At 44.3% G+C, this 25,185-nt stretch overlaps 1 protein-coding gene across 38 annotated transcripts in view, besides 3 other annotated features; it reads right to left on the bottom strand.

Moving 5' to 3' along the window:
• The window catches only part of TANC1 (tetratricopeptide repeat, ankyrin repeat and coiled-coil containing 1), a 264,020-nt gene that overhangs the window by 97,547 nt on the left and 141,288 nt on the right, over positions 1-25,185 (bottom strand). Inside the window, exon 1 of one of the 38 annotated variants that reach the window (XM_047446132.1) lies at positions 14,925-17,380. The exons of the other annotated variants lie outside the window; for them this stretch is intronic. The gene's annotated coding sequence lies outside the window, so the exon portion shown is untranslated. Of the gene's footprint in view, positions 1-14,924; positions 17,381-25,185 lie in introns of those variants that run through there. 38 annotated transcript variants of the gene reach the window in all.
• Positions 10,501-11,012: an enhancer, noted in NCBI's record as "H3K4me1 hESC enhancer chr2:159980613-159981124 (GRCh37/hg19 assembly coordinates)". NCBI's record gives its function as "activates a minimal SCP1, AML or CMV promoter by ChIP-STARR-seq in primed H9 embryonic stem cells {active_cell/tissue: H9 hESC(primed)}" and the evidence as "EXISTENCE:reporter gene assay evidence [ECO:0000049][PMID:30033119]".
• Positions 11,013-11,526: an enhancer, noted in NCBI's record as "H3K4me1 hESC enhancer chr2:159980099-159980612 (GRCh37/hg19 assembly coordinates)". NCBI's record gives its function as "activates a minimal SCP1, AML or CMV promoter by ChIP-STARR-seq in primed H9 embryonic stem cells {active_cell/tissue: H9 hESC(primed)}" and the evidence as "EXISTENCE:reporter gene assay evidence [ECO:0000049][PMID:30033119]".
• Positions 16,202-16,496: an enhancer, noted in NCBI's record as "tiled region #14439; K562 Activating DNase unmatched - State 12:CtcfO". NCBI's record gives its function as "activates a minimal TATA promoter and a strong SV40 promoter by Sharpr-MPRA in K562 cells {active_cell/tissue: K562}" and the evidence as "EXISTENCE:reporter gene assay evidence [ECO:0000049][PMID:27701403]".

Below are 25,185 nucleotides of genomic sequence, written 5' to 3'. Positions count from 1 at the left end.
CTATGCAGGCCTGTGGGGTAATGGTAAGGGATATGTGACTTCTTTCTAGAGTGACCAAATGTTCTAAAATTAGGTTGTAGGGATGGTTGTACAACTCTATGAATATATTTAAAATTAGTCTATTGTATGCTTTAAATGGGTGAACTGTATGGATGTGTATTATACCTAAACAAAACTGCTTAAAAAAAATTAAAAGGCTAGGCACGGTGGCTCACACCTGTAATTCTTGCACTTAGGCCAACACAGAAGGATCACTTGAGCCCAGGAGTTTGAGACAAGCCTGGGCAACACAGTGAAGACCTGGTCTCTATACAAAAATAATAACAAAGAGGCCAGGCGCGGTGGCTCATGCCTGTAATCCCAGCACATTGGAGGCCGAGGCGGGTGGATCATGAGGTCAGGAGTTCGAGACCAGCCTGGCCAAGATGGTGAAACCCCGTCTCAACTAAAAAAAATACAAAAATTAGCCAGGCGCGGTAGTGGGCGCCTGTAATCCCAGCTACTCAGGAGGCTGAGGCAGGAGAATCGCTTGAACCCAGGAGGTGGAGTCTGCAGTGAGCTGAGATCACGCCACTGCACTCTAGCCTGGGCGACAGAGCAAGACTCCATCTCAAAAAATAAATAAATAAAAATAAACAAAGTTAGCTGGGTGCAGTGATGTGCGCCTGAAGTCCAAGCTACTCAGGAGGCTGAGGTGGGAGGATCACTTGAGCCCAGGAGGTAAAGGTTGCAGTGAGCCAAGATCACACCACTGCATTCTAGCCTGGGCGACAGGGTGAAACCCTGTCTCAAAAATAAAGAAAATACTGCCTATTCTGTTACATTTTGGTCCAAAATCACTTCCTTGATTCTAGTGTTCCTTGGTTGCCTTAAAGTGGCTTTTAGCAAGACCACAAAGATAGGAAACATTTTACATCAGTAAGAGAAGGGGTAGTAGAAGACATGCAGGCAGGAATCTACAACTATCCCCTCTTCTTAGCCCTGGGCCATAGCCCTGACAGTCCCAGGGGCCCAGTTCCACCACTGTGTCATGATGGGGTGATGCAGATAGACCATCCTTCTGTCTCAAACGTCTTCTGCATCTAAGAAATTCTGTTCAAAAGATGGTTTATGGCGAGAGATGCTGCCATCTAAAGGCATACTACAAAAGCATTTATACTACTATAAAAATAATCCAATTCCTAGCCAGCTACATGGGTGTACTACATCTTAAACTAGACTGTTATCAAATAAGCTAATAATACTTTACAAATAAGGACGGTATTTCAAACTTCAGGAACCATCGTTTTTAAATGATTCATGTAGTATTTAATCACTTGGCGGTCTTCATAATTTAACCCTGTCATAAAGGGAACTTTTACAAAGATTAAAATAGAATGGTTACAGGGGACACACAATTGCAATCTAAGTGCGGGATGTAGGCTATTCAACAGTATCCAGACTTTATCTACAACATATATATATATCCACACATAAATATGCGTAGGGAAAAAGACTTGTGGGGGTTTGGGGGTGGAGCTAAACTATTTGCTGTGTAAGAGACATAAACTAGAAAGAAGGGCCTGAATAGGACAGATACAAATGGAATCAATTAGCTGGGTGTGGTGGCGTTTGCCTGTAGTCCCAGCTACTCAGGAGGCTGAGGTAGGAGGGTCTTGTAAGCCCAGGAGTTGGAGGCTACAGTAAGCCGTGATTGCACCACTGTGCTCCAGCCAAGGTGACAGAGCAAGACCCTGTCTCAGACAAAAAAAGAGAAAAAAAAAAAAAAGGAACCAGAACAAAGACAAGAACCCATATACACTTTTGGTTTGCCACCTACTCTCTAAGGTAAAATGAACTGCTGACATATTTTCCCTTCATCTGCCCTCATCCATTTGAAGGACCTGGGGAGGTAAAGCTCTTTGTTATTATTGCCTGATAATTTGCCCAATGAGCAGGCATGGCCACTGCTCAAGAAGTGCCTGTATTTCTGCTCCCCTTAACTCTTCAGGGTACAGTAACAGCAAATCTAAAGAGATCTATTTCCAAGCTCCAATCTACCTACCCAAGAGAGTCTTCAAAACTATTCTCTAATAGTAAGCACTTTCTTAAAATGTGGGCTATTTCATTAATGTATGATGGTTATTGTAAATGTCTGGATCCTGGAACCCAGTATCACCCAGAGCCTTCAGAAAGCATCCACGTGCCTGCCTGTTTAACTGTCTTAGAACGGTTCTATTCAGATCCAACCCCTAACTCATAGACTCAACCCTGAGGAGCCAGGATACTCAACGCAGGGACTCATGAGTTGGGCAGACCTAGGTTCAAATACTGTACCCAGGCCTGGCACGGTGGTTCATGCCTGTAATCCCAGCACTTTGGGAGGCCGAGGTGGGTGGATTGCCTCATGAGTTCCAGACCAGCCTGGGTAACATAGTGAAACCCCATCTCTACTTAAAAAAAAAAAAAAAAAAAAAATTAGCTGGGTGTGGTGGCATGTGCCTGTAGTCCCAGCTACTTTGGAGGCTGAAGTACGAGAATCACTTGAACCCAGGAGATGGAGGGTGCAGTGAGCTGAGATCACACCACTGCACTCCAGCCTGGGCAACAGAGTGAGACTGTCTCAAACAAAACAAAAGAAAAACAAAACAAAACAAAACAAAACTGTACCCCTCCCTCCTCATGTCCCCTAACTCGGGCCTTAATATGTCCCAGACCCTAAAGGTGAGCAAATGAACCTCTTGCTACAAGGGGAAAATCCACGCACAAAGACCAGGCCCACCTGGTTCCCAGGCACACTAAATCACAGTAATGTCACATACGAAAGGAGACCTAGAATATAACAAAGTAAGTAAAATATATATTCAGTGGTCACACAAGGCAAAGCACGCACATACATTAATTCACTCATTCCTAATAACTCTGGGAGAAAAGTACAATTTCCCTCATTTTTAGGTCAGGAAACTGAGGTTCAAATAAGTTGTTCTTATCTGAACTCGGCCCACACATGACAAAGCAGGAAGGAATTCACACCCTGGTCTATGCAGTTTTGAAGCCCAGGCACTGAATCACCATTGAGCACTTATACAACTATCAAATCTGGATTAAATATGCAATTCTAGAAAAAGCCCAGGCACTGGGAACTTCCACCACCCAGTCATCAACATCCATGGACGCTGGCTGCAGAGGCAGCAAATCGTTTATGCATCCTACTTGTCTCTGATCTTCCCTTTTACTAGAGGAAATATTAAGTGAATATAAACAACTGTTCTCCTGCATGATCCTTGTATTTAAATTGCTTTTCACAAACAGCTGAACATAAAGTGCTGTAAAACAAGATAAATTTATAACCATAGGTTTTATTGTCCCCCACAATCACTCATTAGAGAATTTGTGCATACTTTGCATTAAGCAGAGCAGATGATACGTGTTTGCCTCCACTCCCTCTCAAAACACCATTAAAGTTGTAGCAAAAAGATTAAAGAAAGACCAGTGGGGAAAGGAGAAAGAGCCACTGGCCAGAAACCAAGCCTCTGAAGGTAGGAAACAGATTGCCAAGGAGCAGTGGAGCAGGTGGAGCAGAAAGGTTAGTGTTGGGTGGGGGCAGGGGAAGGGGCGGGGGGAGGGGGAGTGATGAGGGCTCAGCCCGGGCCAGAGCCTCGGTGACAGCAGGCCCATCGGAAGGCAGGGGCGCGGGTGACATCCAGTAGTGTGGCTGGTTGAAAACTACTGAAGGAAAAGTGAGACCCCCCAATCCCAGAAATTTCTTAAGCCTGGAACATCCCTTCCCCTCCCTCATCCTGGAGGCCAAGTTTATTCTCTGGAAAGGCTCAATTCTAAGACCATGGAGAGAGATTCAAGAGCTAAACTCATGAGTGCCGTTTTCTTTTCATGTTTTTTTTAAACTTGTAACTGCTAAGGAAAAAGTAGATTAAGAAATATTCTACATGCAGACTGATGGGCCAGAGACGTATCTCCCACCCCCAGCCCCCAGCTATGAGATCTGACAGCCAAGCTTATAGGCCACGGCAGGAAGAGATGGGAGGATTCCTCTCTGGGGAAGCTCATCAAGAGAAGAAGGCCTAAAGATAATCATAGTTGGGGACCCCCCACCCCAAGAAAGGTAGATCCCTGACCATCATGCTGCAGCACAGCTTGCCCTCAACGTACCCCTTTCAATCAGCTTTTAGCACCTTATATACAAATAAGGAGCCAAGGACCACCAGGCAGGTGAGGAAAGACCTACCCTGAAAGACAGCAACTGACACAGATTAAGAAAGGAACTCTGAGTTGGGCACGGTGGTGCACGCCTGTAGTCCCAGCTACTTGGGAGGACTGCCTAAGCCCAGGAGTTCGAGGCTGCAATGAGCTATGATTGTGCCAACCCTGTCTCTTTAAAAAAATAAACTAAGGAATGAGAGAAAAGAAGAAACGCCCTATAGAAAGAAAAGCAATACTGTTTCTATTACACAAAAGGATACTGGCACAAGGGACATCTGGAGCCCATGATGTGGGCAGCTAAGCAGGCTGCGGCTACAGAACAACTGCAGGCCACACAGTCAGGAGCCATCACAGTCACCAAGCGCCAATCACACATGACCACCTATTAAACCACAATGACACTAATCGCTGTGCCATCTATACGGAACACTCCCCCACATAAAGCAGCCACAGTCCTTATCAACAGAGATCCAGACTGAAAAATCCATCTCCCCAAGCCCTCACTCAGGGAAAACTACTGCCCAGCACCTTCCCCTCACAACTTTTTGTTTAAAACGAAATATTCAAGCATAAGCTACTTTTAACTTCCCCCTTTTACTTAAACCAAGTGTTATGAGATTAATCCCCCCAAATTAACCAGAATGTAATACTACATAATAATTACCCAGAAAGCATGATATTCCAGCTACTGGGTATGTTTTAACGCAGGAGGCTCTTAAAAACAAAACAAGACTTGTCTGTGGATAAAAACATGAAATAAACAACAACAACAACAACGAGAACAAGGAAAGACCGTCTGGTATTAGCTGACAACCAGCTCCTCTAGGAGCTGGCATGTCTCCAGGGCTGGGCTCCCAGTCCCCCGCCGCCCCCGGTACTGGTATCCTGCTGCCGCCGCTTTTCCAGCTGTAACGTGCACAGGCTTCAAATGTAGATTCTGATGTTCAAGGTGTGGGCTGGGACCACAGATGACACTTTGGTAGCACGAACGGGGTCTCTAGGGAAGACCGCTGTTTACCACCCACTCCAGTCAGGTTCAAGTGAAGTGCAGTGGCTGTGAGTGGAGCACCAACGTGTTCAGTTTACAAGATTTAAGATAAATGGGCATTACCCTCCATCATAAATTAAAGCTACTTCATCTGAACTCTAGATCCTTCTCCTCATTCCAATTTCCCCAGGCCACTGCCCCTCCCCTCACAATCTCCACTATGTGATACAGGAGAAGGTGGATCTCAAAGTTATAAAGGACCCTTAAAATTAAAAACAACAAAGTGCCAAAAGTAAGTTACACAGCCATAAACCCAAAGATATCAAGTATGCAGCTTGCAAAAGAAAAAAAAAACAACAAAACAAAACCCAAGCACCTGTCAGCTTCTTTAACTGTGTAGCAGGGCCTGTGTCAGTCTGGAAGGATGTGGCCAGAACCCTCCCTTAATTACTCCACTCTGCAGCCCAGAAGGTACAGCACTCTCCCCATTCAGAATTCTGCCTTTACATAAATCTCCAAATAGACTTTCCCAGCGGCCAGTTTTCCTGCTTTTTGACATTTTAATCACACAGCTGACTATTTTGCTGCTTAGAAACTGCCACATAAGGAGTATTTTTTAAAAGAGATGGTAGAAATAAACCAAACCCAGCTTTATCTCGAGGCAGTGAAAGGGAGAAGGGCAGGGATTACCTTTCATTTCTGAGTGTTTCGGTTAAAGATAATTATATATTTATATGAAAGCAATATTTGGGACACAGAACACCTGAGGCTACTTATTGCATTTAAAGTGGATCTTACATTTTTCATGATATCTGGAGGCTGTGAAAAGTGACACTGTATGTTATCAATCATTTTAGGGATTTTTTTGCATCCTGAACTTTCACAGTAAAGGTTCCTGCCAATTTTATCTGATCTAGGTTTTCATTCCACAGTGGGAAATTTCACAAGATGAGGAAAATAAAGAGATGAGTAAGATAATATTTTGGGGGCAGGGGGAACCTTTATCACTAAGGCAAATTGCATTAAATAGCCAATTCCTAATGGCAAACCGTGGTAAACTACCAGATAAGTCTTGGATTTTAAGGAGCAAGACATCCAGACAGAGCTTCTAAAGTTTGACCCCTCTTCCCCTGCCCCCCCAACAAAAGAGTGCTTGGTCAGGGAGGAGAATGAGGTGACATGCAATTAGGGACTGAAAAAAGATGATGACTTGGCCTACCCAAGCCTGTGGGATAAAGGGAGTCTTTATAACAGGAACATGGGCTGGCTCCCTGTGCTTTTGTCTCTTGCCTGAGTTGAGGCACGGCTCGGGGGACAGAAGGCACCGTCCAAAGACACCATCTTACAGGGTAAGAGCCTCTTGGGAAGATTCACCTTGGGGGAAGGAGACAGAAAATGAACTGACCAAGCTGGAAAACCTTGGCCAAAGAGGAGGGCAATTTCAAACACAGCCTGGCATCCATCCCTTGGATATCTCCCATGAGAGGCAGAAGGGGATTAAGTAACTAAACTGCTGACAGCTCTCCTCCAGGGAATGACAAAACGCAGCACCAGGCCCCCCACAACTCCTGGGATACAGGGTATGGATGAAGGACAAGGCACCTGGAAACAGAAGTGCACCAGCTGTCCCAGCAGACACCCTCTGGGTACTTCCAGAAGCATTCAGGAACACTTTTACAAGGGCCTGGGGCCTTGTATGAAAAGGTAGTGGCAAAAGATCAGTGTGATTTGAGTCACTACTACTGGGACCTCATCCTAATCCAAAGACAAGTGAGATCTAGGGAAATTCAGACTGCAATTCTAGGGAAGAAAAAAACAGAAGACAAAAAAGTGTGTCACCTGCTGATAGTGAAGAAAACACAAAAGTCACCTAACACCACTCTTAATAAGCCTCCTTTTATTTATTTCAAATACCTTGTTTGCGAAGATCCACTGGGAAAGGGCAGACAGCCTTTATTCATTGGTGCAACGCCTAAGACATTGTGAGGATGTAAATGTTCACAATCTGGTAGGAAAACAGTATATCAAACTGGAGCCATGCTCCTTTTTTCCAAATTGTATCTTAAGTTCCAGGATACATGTGCAAAATGTGCAGGTCTGTTACATAGGTAAACATGGCAATGGTGGTTTGCTGCACCTATCAACCCATCACCTAGGTATTAAGCCCCACATACATTAGCTACTTATCCTGATGCTCTCCCTCCCCCCGTGCCCTGACGGGCCCCGGTATGTGTTGTTCTTCTCCATGTGTTCTCATTACTTCATCCATGTCCCTGCAAAGGACATGATCTTGTTCCTTTTTGTGGCTGCATAGTATTCTATGGTGTATATGTACTACACTTCCTTTAGTTTATCATTGATGGGCATTTGGGTTGATTCCACATCTTTACTATTGTGAATAGTGCCACAATAAACATACGTGTGCACGTCTTTACAGAAAGATTTGTGTTCTTTTGGGTATATACCTCGTAATGGGATTGCTAGGTCAAATGGTATTTCTGGTTCTAGATCCTTGAGGAATCGCCACACTGTCTTCCATGATAGTTCAACTAATTTACATTCCCAGGAACAGTGTAAAAGAGGTCCTGTTCCTCCACAGCCTCACGAGCATCTGTTTCTTGGCTTTTTAATAACCGCCATTCCGACTGACATGAGATGGTATCTCATTGTGGTTCTGATTTGCATTTCTCAAATGATCAGTGATGTTGAGCTTTTTTTCTTATGTTTGTTGGCCATGTAAATGTCTTCTTTTCAAAATTGTCTGTTCATGTCCTTCGCCCACTTTTTGATGGGATTTTTTTGTAGCCATGCTCCTTTCAATAAGGTATCATTAAAATAAATGTTAACACTTTCAAGTTCCAGTTTGTAGTCTACATGTTTATAGCATCATGAGTACAATAAGCTCCTAGTACAACAAAGTAACTTGAGTAACATTTCTGCTTTCTTCCAGTGCAATCTGTCATGCTGTTCTCACACTGTACTAAAATTGTTATATATGAAAGCATGGAAATGCATTAATTCATTTTATTTACTCAACAAATATCTGTGACACATCCACTGCATACCAGGCACAAGGGTGAGAACCACAGACATGACTGAACTCTCGATGCTCTCGGTTAAGATGGCAAGAGTCTACTATATCATTTGAATTTTATTTCAAAACACTTCAACATAAGCTGGGATATGTCCAGTGGCTGTAAGCCAACTGCCTAAAAGCAATGAATTGTCTTAATCTGGAAGACAGGCTCCAAGAGTAGTTAACCAGCTTTTAATCAAAAAGCCACACTCAAGAGACACTACTGCAAGCCAGTCTGCTAGCTATCCTTATCACCAACCAAGAGCAGGTTATGTTAACTAGTATACTTTGGGTCAGAAATGGGCTTTCATATTGGTTAAATTACTGACTTTGTTAATTAGTATTACAGCTGTTGGAACATTTTCAGTGGTGAAATTGATGATATTTGAGGTAAGGGAGTTGACTGGAAATGTCAGAAACACTCTGCCTGTGTGTGACCCAAATATAAAAATCTAGCAGGCCAGATTGTAATAAGCCTCAGAAATGTAAGGCTCAAGGTTAAGAATGGTGCCCTAGGTTTGATAAGTAAATGGCCCCAGGTCCAGCTGCTGATTCCCAGGAATTGTTAAGTCCCTGATGTAAAATGGCAGGAAAACCTGAATTCTGCCTTTGGTGGGCCAAATTCTAAAGATATCATTCCAAGATCCCATCCCCTCATTACTGAATCAAACACAATCTGGGTACGACCATGTAGGGACTCTGCAGATGGAATTAAGAATACTAATTAGATGACCTTCAAATAGATTATCCTGGATTATCTGGGTAAGCTTGCTATAATCACACAGACCCTCGAAAGCAGAAGTGAGAAAAGGCAGGAGGAAGGGTCAGACACTAAAGTGTGAGAAGGAAGCCACCTTTCTGGCATTGAAGATGAAGGAAGGGAACCACAAACAGGAATGCAGGCAGCCTCTAAAGTTGAGAAGAATCCTCAGCTGACAGCCAGTAAAGAAATGGGGACCTAGGCCGGGCTCAACAGCTCACGCCTGTAATCCCAGCACTTTGGGAGACCGAGGCGGGTGGATCACCTGAGGTCAGGAGTTCGAGACCAGCCTGACCAACATGGTGAAACCCCATCTCTACTAAAAATACAAAAAATTAGCTGGGCGTGGTAGGCACCTGTATTCCCAGCTACTCAGGAGGCTGAGGCAGGAGAATTGCTTGAACCCGGGAGTCGGAGGTTGCAGTGAGCCGAGATCACGACACTGCACTCCAGCCTGGGCAACAGAGTAAGACTCTGTCAAAAAAGGAAGGAAGGAAGGAAGGGAGGGAGGGAGGAAGGAAGGAATGGGGACCTCAGTCCTACAGTCACATGGAACTGAATTCTGCCCTCCTGAATGAGCCTGGAAGTGGTTCATCCCCTGAGCCTTAACAGAACACCACCCTGCTACCGTCTTGATTTTGGCCTAAGGAAACCTAGAGAAGAGAGCCAGATGTGCCTGGACTTCTGTCCTAAAGAATTGTGAGATAATAGATTTAAGATAAGCTTGTAGTAATTTCTCAGGGCAGCAATAAAACACTGACATAATGTCTATGAAACACTGTCTCATGTGCTACAGGTAAACACCAAATGCAAGCTGCTGTCAGAGCAGACTCCTGAAAAGGACAAAGCTGGAGCCTCACCAGGCGTATAAAGCAGGTTGTGTGGCTGTGCTGTGACAGCCTACTAATAAATCTGTATGGGCAGAACTCCACCTAAGCCTTATTTTCATTCATGCCTGGTTGTGAGCTCACAAGGAGGAAATCTCTAGCTCTTACTTCCTCTGACTTTTGGTAGTAATTACAATGTGCCATAAAGAATCTAATACCAGCTGGGCATGGTGGCTCACGCCTGAAATCCCAGCACTTTGTGAGGCTGAGGTGGGAGGATCACTTGAGCCCAGGAGTTCAGGACCAGCCTGGGAAACATGGTGAAACTCCATCTCTACAAAAAAATACAAAAATTAGCTGGGCATGGTGGTGCGTGCCTGTACTTGGTGAGGAGGGCGGGGGGTGGGGAGAGCTGAGGCGGGAGGATCACACAAGTCGAGGCTGCAGTGAGTCATGCTCATGCTACTGTACTCCAGTCTGGGTGATAAAATGAGGCCCTGTCTCTGGAAAAAAAAAAAATGCAGCTGATTTCCTTAGCTTTGTAGGAATGGTTAAGAAAATAGCTACAAACAATTGAACAACCACAAACTTTGATTTAAAGATATCCCTGGAGGAAAGATCGATCTTCCTAGAATGGCTAATTTCAGAGTTTGTCTAAGGAACTCAGGAAGTAGGCCTTAAGCCACAGGGCTCTTCTGTTGTTTGCACAAGGAGGAAGTGAGCCCTCCACTGCCTGAAGTAACTGACTCCAAAAGGAAGGCAGGATCCTTGAGAATTTTCTTTCCCTGTGGGTTCAGACCAGCCCCTGGACCAACAGCAACAGCATCACCTGCGAACTTATTAGACATGCAAATTCTCAGCCCCTCCCCAGACCACAGAGTGATTCCGATGCCCCACTCAGGCTTGTTTTTTGTTTTTGAGACAAAATCTCGTTCCGTCGCCCAGGATGGAGTGCAGTGGTGCGATCTCAGCTCACTGCAACCTCTGCCTCCCAGGTTCAAGTGATTCTTATGCCTCAGCCTCCTACAGACAGGCACCACCACACCCGGCTAATTTTTGTATTTTTAGTAGAGACAGGGTTTCACTATGTTGGCCAGGCTGGTCTCGAACACCAGACCTCAAATGATCCGCCCGCCTCAGCTTCCCAAAGTGCTGGGATTATAGGTGTGAGCCACCTCACCTGGCCTCCCACTCAAGTTTGAAACCCACTGGCACGGCCTGTCTGGAGTAGCTATGCAAGACCTTGCCCACAGCCCAAGAAAGCTCAAAATTCAAGTATGAAGACAAAACAGTATGATGTTAAATGACTTGGGAAAAACAGCAGCGGGAGGGAGGAAGGCAGCGATTGAGCTGTACCTGAGGCTGGGGGCACGAGGGGAGACTGGCGTCACTGAATGGGACCACAGAGGTGGGAGGCAGGGGGTTTTACTCTTTCCATTTCCTAAACGAAGTAAAAGCAGTTGGAGGAAGAGAACTTTGTCTCTGTTTAGCTTCTTTACAGTGTTTAGCACAGAGCTATGTACTCAGGTGGGGCACAAATATATATTTCAATAAGAAAAAGTTTATTTCTGCTTTTTAAGTAAATTATACTCATTTGCTATAAATTAGTAACTTCTAAGAAATCCTGTAATTTGGGAATGTCTTCTCCAATATTTACTCAGTACAGTGGCTACCACAGAATTCCATTTCATTTCTGTCAGGGCAGGAGATTCAGAAGTAAGGGGAGGAATGTGAGAAGGGAGATATGGGGAGGTGTTGGAGGGGTTGAGGTGGGGTGAGGGGAGCGTGGGTCCCAGCCCAGTCCCTTGAAAGCTTCCACTGATTAGAAGGTGCTCCACGACCCCTCCCTAACCAGCCAGGAGAGGGTGAAGGCAGAGCAGTCCTATGTCTCACTCAATAGCACTCTCTCTTTCCATCCTCCACAGTGACCAGGTCAAGACTATCCCAGCCTTCTCCAACAAATCTAATACACGCACATACACACTCCACCCTTCGCCCTATACAGAAAAAAATCACCATCGGAAGGGAGCACCTGAAGGAAATTCTTCAGCCCCATCCTCACACCTACCTGCTCTGGCATGCATCTGCATACATCCACACACAGCGAATCCTCTACCTGCACTCATGGGCCAAGATCAGGGTGCAGAGATCAAGGGCAAGAACAGGGAACAGAGATGCAGAACGCAATTGTCTCTAGAGAAATACCTGTAAGCACTGTTGCTCTTAATAGGATTTATGAGTTTAATCAGATTAGGTCCAAAGATTAGCTATGGATCATAGTTTCAACCTGACTAGGTTGCACTGAGACCATTAAAAGGGCCAGCTTGGACAATGAGCTACCACTGCACACCTTTTAGGATGGCTAAAACTTAAAAAACAAAATATAAAAACTGCTGGTGAAGATGCAAAGTAACTGAAACCCTCATACTGTTGGTGAAAATGCAAAATGGTAGAACCACTTTGGAAAACAGTATTACTCTGCAAAAAAAAAAAAAGAAGAAAAAAGAAAAAGAATTGATACCCACTACAACATGAATGAATCAACTGCATTAGGCTAAGCGAAAGAAGCCAGACTCAAAAGGTTATACACAATTCTAAACACGACATCTGAAAAGGCAAAACTATAGGTTTGGAGGACAGTTCAGGGGTTGTCAGGAGTTGGGTGTTGACTACAAAGGAGCAGCATGAGGGAATATTTTGGGGTGAAAGAACTGGTATCTTTGTGGTAGTTACACAACTGTGCATTTGACAGTCACAGATCTGTACAATGAGAAAAAAAAGTTCATTTTTGCTCTATGTTAATTTTAAAAAAACACATTAAATTTTTTTTTTAGTTAGAAAAGAGGGTCTGGCCACTTCAATGATAATAGTGATACCCAGTTATAGGAAGTCCCCAAGTCTCAAATCCTGGGTAAACATCTCTGACCCATGTATAGAGAGCAACAGCTAAAGGCCAGCCCCAGCATCTATCATCTCCTTCCACCTCTGTAAGAAAGCCCTAATTTTTCACTATTTTAAAAAATAGGCCAGGAACAGTGGCTCACACCTGTAATTCCAGCATTTTGGAAGACCAAGGCGGGCAGATGGCTTGAGCCCAGGAGTTCCAGACCAGCCTGGGTAATATGGTGAAACCCTGTCTCTACAGAAAATACAAAAATTAGGTGGGTGTGGTGGCGTGTGCCTGTAGTCCCATGTACTTGGGAGGCTGAGGTGGGAGGATTACTTCAACCTGGGAGGTTAAGGCTGCAGTGAGCCGTGATCCTGCCACTGCACTCCAGCCTGGGCAACAGAACGAGAGCATCTCTCAAAAATAAATAAATAAAAAGTTTCAAACACTTGGAAAGGGACAAAAGAGATAACAGGGTGTACCTTCAGTGGGCCTGGATGTTGCTTATGTAAAGCAGACCCTCCGACAGTATCTTTCCATAGCTGTGTACACTCTTGACTTTCTATTGACTAGTTTACAGGTCTGTAAATTGCAGAAAACTTGGCAGTGCAAATGATTCCTGTCCCTAGCAATGTTTGTCCATACCAATTCTCTGGCAGACAATATAAATCTCTATAACCCAAATTCCTAAACCATTAACATCTTTTTGGATTCCCTAATTAATGAATTATGCTATTGCCTTTCTCGTAACTGCTGGGCGTAGTGGCTCACAATCCTAGCACTTTGGGAGGCCAAGGCAGGTGGATCACCAGAGGTCAGGAGTTTGAGACATGGCCAACATGGCGAAACCCCGTCTCCACTAAAAATACAAAAATTAGCCAGGCATCGTGGTGGGCACCTGTAACCCCAGCTACTCAGGAGGTTGAGGCAGAAGAATCACTTGAACCCAGGAGGCAGAGGTTGCAGTAAGCGAAGATTGCACCATTGCACTCCAGCCTGGGCGATAAGGGTGGGAGTCCGTCTCAAACAACAACAATAGCGGAGAAAATTATGCTTTAGCACCCTAGTGCAATTAAGTGCATAAATAATTGCATTTCCCAGCCTCCTTGGCAGCTAGGTCCACAGAGCCAATGAGAGGTGAGCCAGCATCAGGTAGGATTTCAAGGAAGACTGTTTACAAAGATGAGCCAGCTGGGAGAAACCCCATTTTGCTCTTCTCTTTCCTTCTTCTGGCAGGACATGTGGACATGCTAGCTAGTACTCCAGCAAACATGTTATTAGACCATCAGGTTACCTTGTGTTAGGAAGGTGTGGTAAACTGATAATGGTTCCCAAAGACATACTCCCTGGAACCTATGGTATTTGCTACTTGATTTGGAAAAATCATCTGTGTAGATGTGACTAAGTTAAGGATCCTGAGATGAGGGGCTTATCTAGGTGGGCCTCAACTGCCGTAAGTAAAAGAGAAAGGAGAGGCCAGACACGGTGGCTCATGCCTGTAATCTCAGCACTTTGGGAGGCAGAGGCAGGAGGATCGCTTAAGTTCAGGAGTTCAAGACCAGCTTAGGCAACACAGTGAAACCCCATCTCTACAAAAAAATACAAAAATTAGTTGTGGTGTGTGCCTGTAGTCCCAGCTACTTGGGAGGCTGAGGTGGGAGGATCACTTGAGCTTGGGAGGTTGAGGCTGCAGTGAGTGATGATCCATTGTGCCACCACACCCTATCCTGAAATACATAATTTTTAGCTTTAAGTGAAATTCATTCTAAAAATAATTAAAATTTTTTTAAACACAAGATTGACACATTGAATTTTAAGTCTTGTGAGAAGCCATATTTAAAATTTTTAACCATAATGCACTGAATAGCAATGCAAAATTCATATCATTTGTACATAAAATGCTTCTCTCAACATCAAAAGGCTCAAAATAGTCCCTCCACCATGTAAAGTCAATCTCTCCCTTTCAGAATACTCAATGGAAGTTCAAGATTCTAAAAAAAAATTAAAAAAAAATAAACAAACTACTCCCTCAAGTCCAAGTCCACCATTGTCTACTCCCTATCCCACAGTGCCCACCCTGCTGGTAAGGACTGCCATCTCATTTCTGTTACCCTCTGAATTCTAGAACCTTCCACATGCTATCACAGTCATCCTTTCCCCACAGCACATACACTATTGTCACCTACGTCCTTGTCCATGTCCCCCAGCAGACTCAACTCCTGGGTGTCTCTGGCATCTCTGGCATCTGTACAAAGATGCTATCTCTGAAGTCAGGAGTAGCCCACAGTCCTGTTGCACATGGTCAGAAGGCTGGCATGTCAGACCACATGCAAGGGGCCTCTAACAATCCCACAACAGGCTGCACCTGAGACTGAAAGAAAAGGCAGTATGAAGGCTGGGCTTGCGAGCAAGAGGCACTGTCCTCCTCTGACCTCATTGTTGATGAGCTCACACTGGCAAGCACATGCTTTCCATTATCTGAAACACCTCTTCCCTCTTGCAAACATCAAGCGCAGCAGCAAAGCCATATTTGGGGGCTCAGCCATTATCTGTTTAGAGTCTAAAAAGGACAAATTGCACTCACAGATTGCATAGGTAACCTGTGACATCAGTGAGAGGGGCCAGATAAGCCACGACCGCAGCTCACCTCCTAAGAGTGCCTGCTGCCGTCCCCTGCAGCAACCCAGGCCATCGTGACCTCTCAGCTACCGCATCTGACTTCCTATCAGTGTTCAGCATTCAGGACAAAACAGAGAACAGGGTTTCCACATTAAACATGCTACAGCTCAGGTTGATGTCGAATTTTTATTGGTTAAAGCAACTACAGTCATTGCTTACCTTACTCTAAAACAGGTGATCAAGATTTTACATTACAGTTAGAATTCCTGAATATACAATGATTTATTACAACAGAGTGGCTGCTTCTTGATTTTTTTTAAAACCAACTGAAACTGATCTCCATCTTAGCACCTGCTAACAGTCAATCAGGTCAACCACAGGTCATATGAAACCATCTTCCCAACTCCCCCACCTCCACTGGTTCTGAAGAGTGGGTGTAAACAATGGGTTAAACAATCCAGGATGCAGACAGCTGTTAATCATAACTGGCTCCACATTCCCACACATTACAGTGGACTTCAGTAGACTCCCTGGCTACTTCCTACATAGGCTCAAACCTCTTACGCATGTGTACAAAAACATCTGAAGACATTTGGGGGCAAAGAAGAATGAATATTAAAATAACTGCCCAATCTGCCTATACCAAAGAAAAATATGACAGAGGCTTGGGGTTATAACCTATTCTACTTTTACGCCTCAGCTATTGAACAATTTTGAACAATCAGAGACAAAAAGGCTTACCAGAAAATACATGATTAACAGTATGTCAAACAAAGTAACTACAGAGATTTTTTACTTTAAGATGTCTGCTGTTTGTGTACCCAGTCATGTACAAAGGCAAAGTTAGGAGGTAGCTTCTCTTTTTCTTTAAGAGTTTAAAGTGTTTCTTCTTTTCTAAAGTACTTTAGCTACTCGAACAGCATGCAGACAGGGTAAGAATCACAGAACCTGGCCGAATACACAGCTCATTCAGCATCAACCACAAGGTGGCGCTGCTTCAATGCTGATTCAGATGCACAGCCCTGCTAGAGACGTTTCTCCACCATCAAGGCTACATTTGCTTGTGTCCTTTCCAGGCCGGCCAAAAATGCTTTCTCCTTAAGGTTTCAGGTAACACACATATGGCTAACAGTCTATATTGAGAAAGTAAACCACTGAGGCACAGCAACTCCCTACCCCCATCTTAGGACAGACTCTGACTGCACCTGAGAGGACTTATCTCAGCCTCCCTTAGTTAACAAGGCAACAAAGTGGGGCAGAAAGGCTTGCATACTCCTGAATCACACCCAAGTACAACACTGGGAGTTCATCTTCCCGGGAATCCATACTGATGAAAATAAATGGGAAACAAGACAAATCTCCTATGCAGAAAAATTCCAAACAATTTACATAGATCCTCCACTCTCATGGTGGTGGTGTACACCACCATACCCCTAAGTGTGGGCTGCACACAGCGACTTCCTGCCTTCTGGAGAGTACAGCACACTCCACATACAGCATCTATGCATGCATACAAATGCGTTCATGTTAATATATGGAAGGGGGAGGGAAGGAAACGAATAACTTCACCTTGGAGCAACCTGGCACCCACTACGTTGGCCAGGTGATCGAAGTCAAGACAGTGATAAGCCAGGTAGCTACTGTGTACATCAAAAGATGGGAGCAGAAGGCACTTCACTTCTGTGGTTTCTGCCCCAAAACCTGTAACTCCAGTCTAATCATGAGAAAAACACCAGTAGAGAAAAACACCAGTAGAGAAAAACTCCAGTACAGAAAAATTCCAGTAGAGAAAAACTCCAGTAGAGAAAAACTCCAGTACAGAAAAACTCCAGTACAGAAAAACTCCAGTAGAGGGGCAACCTGCAAAACACCAGCCCAGCACTCCCCAAAACTGCCAAGGTCATCAAAACAAGGAAAGTCTGAGCAACCACCACAGCCAAGAAGAGTCTAAGACCTGACAACTAAATGCAATATGGTGTCCTCTCGGATACTGGAATAGAAAAAGGACATTGGGAATAAGCTTTAAAAAAAAAAAAAAAAAAAAAAAAAAAAAAGGAATAGGCCGGGCACGGTGGCTCACGCCTGTAATCCCAGCACTTTGGGAGGCCGAGGCAGGCGGGTCACGAGGTCAGGAGATTGAGACCATCCTGGCCAACACGGTGAAACCCCGTCTCTATTAAAAAATACAAAAAATTAGCCGGGCGTGGTGGCGGGCACCTGTAGTCACAGCTACTCGGGAGGCTGAGGCAGGAGAATGGCGTGAACCCAGGAGGCGGAGCTTGCAGTGAGCCGAGATTGCACCACTGCACTCCAGCCTGGGCAACAGAGCAAGACCCCATCTCAAAAAAAAAAGGAATAAAGTACAGACTTTAGTAGGTATCAATATCAGTTCATTAACTCTGACAAGTGTGTCATACTAATGTCCTATGTTAATAAGAGGAGACTTGGTATGGAGTGCACGGGAACTCTGCATTCTTTGCAACTTCTCTATAAATCTAACGCTATTCTGAATTTAAATTTTATTAAAAATAGAAGTTCACCCAAGCTTTAATGGTAACTAAGAGGTCTCGTCACATACAGGAGAGTCCTTTTACTTTCTATGTTGTATTTAGGTTGTGTTCCTGACAGTCCTTTCACCCTCAGCATAGAGGAGGGTAAAGCAGCAAACACTGCTTCACTGAAGGTCATGTGAAGGATATGGTGGAAAGGCAGAGTGTGAGGGCTCCTGTGCCATCTGCACCTTTCGAGAGTGATCGAAGGCCACTATTCCGGGTGGCAATGAAGTAAAGTGAAAATGACCCAGGCTTTGGAATTAGACTGAAGTTCAAATCCCAACTGGTTATCAACGAGCAGTCTAACCTTCAGCAAAGTTATAACTAAGCTCTTGGGGCGCTCCATCAACTCACTGTAAGTGGGGTTCATACCTAAGCTGCAGGCTTGAAAATGTTCATGCAGTGTCTAGCACATGGTTGAATAAATGCTAAGTTTCCATTTCTCCTTTCCTTTCCTGAGACAAAAGTTAACATTGGCCAACTACAGCCCAGGGGCCAAATTGGACCACTGAGTGTTTTTATACATAAAATATCACTGGAACACAGCCATGACCACTCATTTACGTATTGTCTAAGGCTGCTCTGTACTACGATGGCAGAGTTACATAGTCGCAACAGGGACTGTGTGGCCCTCAAAGCCTGAGATATTTACTATCTGGCCCTTGACAGAAAAAGTTTGCCTATTCTGCTCAAAGGTCATCAATTGCCATATTTCCAAAAGCTAACAGGTCCTTTGTTTTTTTTTTTTTGTTGTTGTTGTTGTTGTTGTTGTTTTTTGAGACTGAGTCTTGCTCTGTCACCCAGGCTGTAATACAGTGGTACAATCTCGGCTAACTGCAACATCTGCCTCCTGGGTTCAAGCGATTCTCCTGCTTCAGCCTCCTGAGTAGCTGGGATTACAGGCATCTGCCACCACACCCAGCTAATTTTTTTGTATTTTTAGTAGAGACGGGGTTTCACCATGTTGGTCAGGCTGTTCTCAAACTCCTGACCTGATGATCTGTCTGCCTCGGCCTCCCAAAGTGCTGGGATTACAAGTGTGAGCCACCGCGCCCAGCCACTAACAGGTACTTTTCATTCCTTATCATACTTGACCTTCACAGCCTCTGCGTCAGATGCCCTGTTTCAAAATCCTCTTTTCTCTCTTGAGGCCAGCAACCTTAGCTCAGACTCTGCACTCAACTCCTTGGTGCTCTTCACAAGCATGGCTTCGTGGAGCACTCAAAGTTCAAGATAGGCAAAGTCAAACCACTCCACACTGTAGTTAATTACACCAGCACCTACACCTGTGGTAGGGCAGAAACAGCATTACTTGGAATCCCAGGACCAACGAGGGCTGAAATTCTACCTTTCAGAACCTTAGAATTCCTACCCAAAACACAGGAATAATGCCCACCTTGGAAATACTATGAAAATTAAACTGGGGAGAAAAACAAAGTCATGAGGCACAACAGAATATTTTGAATCTTGACCTATCAAGAAAACCAAGCTAGAGCTCGGCAAGCTTCCCAATGGCATGCAAAAAATGAGTTAAGGGTATGCCAGGATATGGATTCTCTCAGCTCTCCGGACCGTTGGGCAGAGTCTGGGGCAGTGCCCGAGGGACAGTTCATTGATTCCATTTGCTGTACAAAAATCTCCTATATGTGCCATGAGATTAAAAGGACTAGGAAGCCCCTGCCTTGAGTACTTTCCTTCTGCACTTTCTTCCTTCCCTAATTCTCATGTACAAACAGGTCACCACAACCTAAAGATTCTTTTTCCTAAAACTTTTTCAAATCAACCTCCACCACACTGCACATTCCCCTGCAGAGTTAAGCCACTATACTGCATTTGACTCAAGGAGTCCCAGTCTCAACCCCAAGGAGGCCTGTGTGAAACAGTTACCGTCCTAGAAACCAAATCTATTTATTTCATCCCTCTTCTGCTTAACTCTGTCATAGGACATCACTGCCAAAATAAAACACCTGGCTCCTCCAATGACACACACACACACGGACACACATACACACACACACACACACACACACACCCTTACCAGCTTCCGAAAGGAGAGTCTCGCTCTTCTCCGTGAGGTCACAACACTTTGTAGACACCTCAATGTCTTCACTGTTGTCATCTCTTGCCAAACTGGGAGGTCCCCAGAGCTTAGAGCCAAGTATTTATTTACCTTTATATCCACCACATCTCTAGTCCAGAGCCCAACACATGGCTGGTGCTCAATAAACTGGTATAAAACAAATGTTTATGGAAGCTCATGAAATCACTGCGTGAAAGACTGAATAACTCAGAGTGCCTCTGAGGCCATTTGCAAAAATAAAGATCACCACCAAAAGTCATCATATCCACCCATACAATGTCCTCTTACAATGAAAGGGATCCTGGAACAGGCTCTCACCAAAACAAGTCCAGGAGAACTGGGGGAGTAAGAGCTCTTGAGATGACCACAGAATAAAATGAACTTTATTTTAAAGCCCAAAGGGCACACAAACTAATAATTTCCAGGTTGAAAGGAAGAAACAGGAAAAGTATACCATAAAAATAATAAAAGAGTGTCAAAATGCAAATAAAAATGGGATTCTCTTAAGCAGTCTGATATATGTTTCTTGCTCATTTCGGGGAAACATGTTGAACTCAACAGGTTTATTTTTTCCTTTCTGGGTATCACACACTACTCTACTAGCAACACTGTCAGTAAGTCAAGATTTCAGGCTACAGTTAAGATGTTTCCCCCCACCTTAAAAGCACCTGCTTGCCTGTTAAAATACCACAAACTATAAGAAAAAATTAACTGTACAGTAAAACCTAAAACCAAGTAAATATTAGTAAATATTACATCCTCAGAAACTAATGGATAGCTCCTTGACCTGGCCACTGATATCATTTCTTCCTGACAATCTTATGGGACTCAGGTGGCCCCTGCAAGGCATCTCTTTACAGCCAGGCCACATCTGTCCTCCCCTCAGGAGGACAGTTGGGTGCTTGGTTGGCTCCCTACCTTCAGTCCCCATAATCTTTGGTATCAGCTCGTTGTCTTGTGAACTGCTTTTCACACTCCTCTAAAACTTGGTTCCTTGTGCTCTCACTGATCTTTATCACTTTTAATAAAAGCTACAATAGGACTAAGAATAAATAAGCATAAAGCATTTGGCTGGAAGCAACACACACTTCAGGAAATGAAAACCAATTAAGTATCTGGCAAGACCCTTCCCACAGAAGCTGTAGATGGGTCAGCTCATCCACAGAGCCGTGCCCACAATTCAAAAACTCAGATCCCAATGATGAATAATTTGGTTTTCATGGTTTCAACAATATTTGCTAACCCAAGTCCAAATGTCAGCAATTAGATTTTTTTGTTCAAAAAATTTTTAAGAGACTGGAGTCTCACTATGCTGCCCAGGCTTATCACAAACTCCTTGGCTCAAGTTATACTCCAGCCTCTGCTTCCCCAGTAATCGGGATTACAAGTGCACTGCTGTGCCTGGCAAGCAATTAGATTTCAAGAGTCCTCCACTGAAGGAGTGGTGCCTTCTCTATTCTCCAGGTGAGAGAAACAGACTAAAGGCAAAAGAGGATGATACAGGAGAGAGGACAATAAAAGGCAGAAGGGGCGATTTACCCCAATCTCAGATGTCAGGACCAGTTTGATGGAACATGGCAAGGGCAGCATTCTTCCAACATATTCTAGGAGCCAGGCACTTTACATTCCTTCCAATCCTCTCAAAGACCCATATGGTAGGTAGGTTATTCTCCTTTCTCAATGAGGAAACCAACTATTAGAGACATTAATTTAGTACTCTTCTAAGGAAACAGAGCCACTAAGAACAAGGACTTGGGATTGACCCCAGGTCTGTCTGTCCTCCTACAATACAATATCCTGGGTAGAATTTTTCTGTTTAGGAGGCAGTAAAAGGGACAATATACTAAAATCATCTAATGCAGCTAAGATTTGCTTAAACTTCTCATGCCCATAATCCCAGCACTTTGGGAGGCCAAGGAGGGAAGATTGCTCAAGTCCAGGAGTTCAAGACCAGCCTGGGCAATATGGCTGAAGGCAACAGGGTGAGGCAGAGAAAACCCTTCTCTACTAAAAATACAAAAATTAGCCACGCGTAGTGACACATGCTTGTAGTCCCAGCTACTTGGGAGGCTGAGGTGGGAGGATCGATTAAGCCCAGGAGGAAGAGGTTGCAATGAGCCGAGATTCCCCAGCCTGGGTGACACAGCAAGACCCTGTCTCAAAAAAATTTTTTTAAAAAATGCCATAAGTTTAAAAAGAAAAAAATCTGCTTAAACTTCACAACCTTAAAAAAAAAAAATACTGGCTGGGTGTGGTGGCTTACACCTGTAATCCCAGCCCTTTGGGAGGCCAAGGCTGGGGGATAGCTTGAGGCTAGGAGTTTGAGAGCAGCCTGGCAACACAGCAGAACCCTATCTCTATAAAAATGCAAGATAAAAAAATTACCCGGCCATGGTGGCATGTGCCTGTAGTCCTAGCTACTCAGGAGACCCAGGTGGGAGGACTGCTTACACCCAGGAGCCCAGGAGTTCAAGGATGCAGTGAGCTGTGATTGTGCCATTGCACTCCAGCTGAGCGACAAAGCAAGAACCTGTCTCTTAGGAAAACGAGAAAAAAAAAAAAAAAAAAGGCTGGGTGCAGTGGCTCACGCCTGTAATCTCAGCACTTTGTGAGGCCGAGGCGTGCAGATCACCTGAGGTCAGGAGTTTGACACCAGCCTGGGCAACATGGTGAAATCCTGTCTCTCCTAAAAATACGAAAATTAGCTGCATGTGGTGGAATCTGCCCATAGTCCCAGCTACTTGGGAGGGTGAAGCAGGAGAATCACTTGCACCTGTGAGGGGGAGGTTGCAGTGAGCCGAGCAAGATGAGATCACACCACGGCACTCCAGCCTGGGCAGCAGAGTGAGACTCTGTCTCAAAAACAAAACAAAAACAAAAAACAAACCAACAAAAAAACCCAAAAAACTTACTGAGAATATTTTGCATGCCTACATTCAAATTTTAATGTACATATGAGTGCATACACATTCATTCAACTCTGAGTGCACATATCTGCTCTAATAGCAACTGTATAACTGAAAAAAGTGAATTATTTTGTAAAAATACTTTCAAGAAAAGAAATCCCTACTGAATTTTCACTGAAGAGCTGTAGTCCACAATCTCTTTCTGACTGACACAACAGGAGATTCTAGTTTGTACGTCTCACTTCAAGACATACAATTTCTGTATCAAATGTTAACACTAGACTCTACAAGGCGTACAATGGGCATATATTTTTCTGTGATTACCAAAGACCTTCAATATCCAAGTGTTACATCCAAAGTCCTGGTGAAACATCAAACAAACTTCAAACAGCCCAAGATAGAAGCCTCCATAATACTCGCTGTGTTCTCAGAGGACGCCTCCATCTGGCATCATGGTGCAGTTGTGACCAGGGCACAATGACCTCACTTGCATTCCATTGTGTGCACTCTAAGAGGAGGAGGCAGCACTGCCAACTGTGGTGCAGACTCATCTGCTGGTCCCTCAGCCCGTCTCAGCCCCACGTGCCCCTCCTATACGGGATTCTGGTGTACCAGGTATGTGTTTCTGGTACAGTGTAATCCTGAGTACAAGCTATCTACTTCATCTGGTGCTCGTCCAAATAAACAACAATCTGTTTAAATGGCAGAACAACGGCTGTGCCATCAAGAGACAGCATGTCTGCAGATGGCATTTAAGCCATCTGAGGGATGTTCAAGGGTAACCTGACACAAAGGCTTCTGCCTCAAGTGCTGACTTTATCACTTACCTGTGTAAGGAGCACCTGTGTTTCTCTGCTGTGTTGCACAGCTTTGAACAGTATGTAGCTATGTGCTCAGTTTCAACCGGAGTTTTGTTCTCATTGCTTGGAGAGCAAACCTGGACCACCTTGCAGCATTTATACTCTCCATCAGCTTCATGAATCACAGGCTCTCATTTCCATAGTGTGCACATGGCAGCTTCACAAATTACCCAGGCAGGGCACCACCAGGCATCCTGCCTTTTTGCTTTACCTGTGTTTCTCTTTTCTGCCAAGAACCATTGCTTTCTTAGACCTTTATACTCACATCACCAGTTCTAAGAGCTGGCTTCCTGTATAGGGTAATTCTACATACATAACATTTTAATCACTTCACACAAATCATGTGCAAACCAGGAAAAGATGAATAATCCAAGAAGCTGGCAGCAGGGCTAGAAGTGGAACCCACTGTGTTCCACTTTCATGTCCTATTCCCAGGGAACAAAGCCCCGAAGGAGGGCTGTGCTGCATGTCAAGACGACACATGCTTGCCAGAAAACACAGACCAGAGGGTGGAATCCCACTGGAGGGCATTTGACTGAGGATAAACAATCAAGGGGACAGATACTATGGGAATCCATTCATGGCGACCAAGTCACACGAGGGAAGCTGAAGATGGGCTCCAGGGAAGATGGTGACATGGAAATTGCAACCACCACGACCCTACACTTTACAGTCTACATCTTGTTTAAATTTCACTTGTCCTATGTCTTAGTTCAGGCTGCTACTTTTCACATACCACAGAAGGCTGGGTGCCATGGCACACACCTGTAATCCCAGCACTTTGGGAGGCTGAGGCAGAAGGATTGCTTTAGCCCAGGAGTTCAAGACCAGCCTGTGCAACATGGTGAAACCCCATCTTTTTCAAAAAATTTAAAGAAACAAAACCAAACATAGATTGGGTGGCTTAAACAACAATTTATTTCTCAGTTTGGAGGCTGGGAAGTCCCAGATCAAGGAACCAGCAGAACCAGTGTCTGAGGACAGTGCCTACTCACTGTACAGCAGTGCCTCCTTATCTGCAGAGGATATATACCAAGGCCTCCAGTGGAAACTGAGGATAGTACTGAACCCTGTATACACACTATGCTTTTTCCTATACATATATCCTTCGCTTGCACTAAATGGCTTTGTGTCACTCATTTCAGGGGACCTCTCTTGCAGAATTTTCTCCATAGTCTCAACGCTTTCTCTTGGCAACATGTTGCCAACAAATGGAACTCATTTTCTGTTCTTGTCTTCAACCCATAAATGGAATGCCTTTTTCATCTTAACTAAGAATTTATCACACACAGTGGCAGTAACTTATGCAGTTTGAGGTATGACAGCAAAACTACCATGAATTTCTTTTTCCTTTGTCATAATTTCATGGAAGATTCATTCTTACTATAGATCTTAGCAACCTCAGCATACAATGTTTTTTCTTTATTAAG

The sequence above is a fragment of the Homo sapiens genome, chromosome 2 (genome assembly GCF_000001405.40).
Source record: "Homo sapiens chromosome 2, GRCh38.p14 Primary Assembly".
In the NCBI taxonomy this organism is placed as follows: domain Eukaryota; kingdom Metazoa; phylum Chordata; class Mammalia; order Primates; family Hominidae; genus Homo; species Homo sapiens.
Note: the sequence above shows the minus strand (reverse complement) of the source record. Positions and strands in the feature narration are given on the sequence as shown.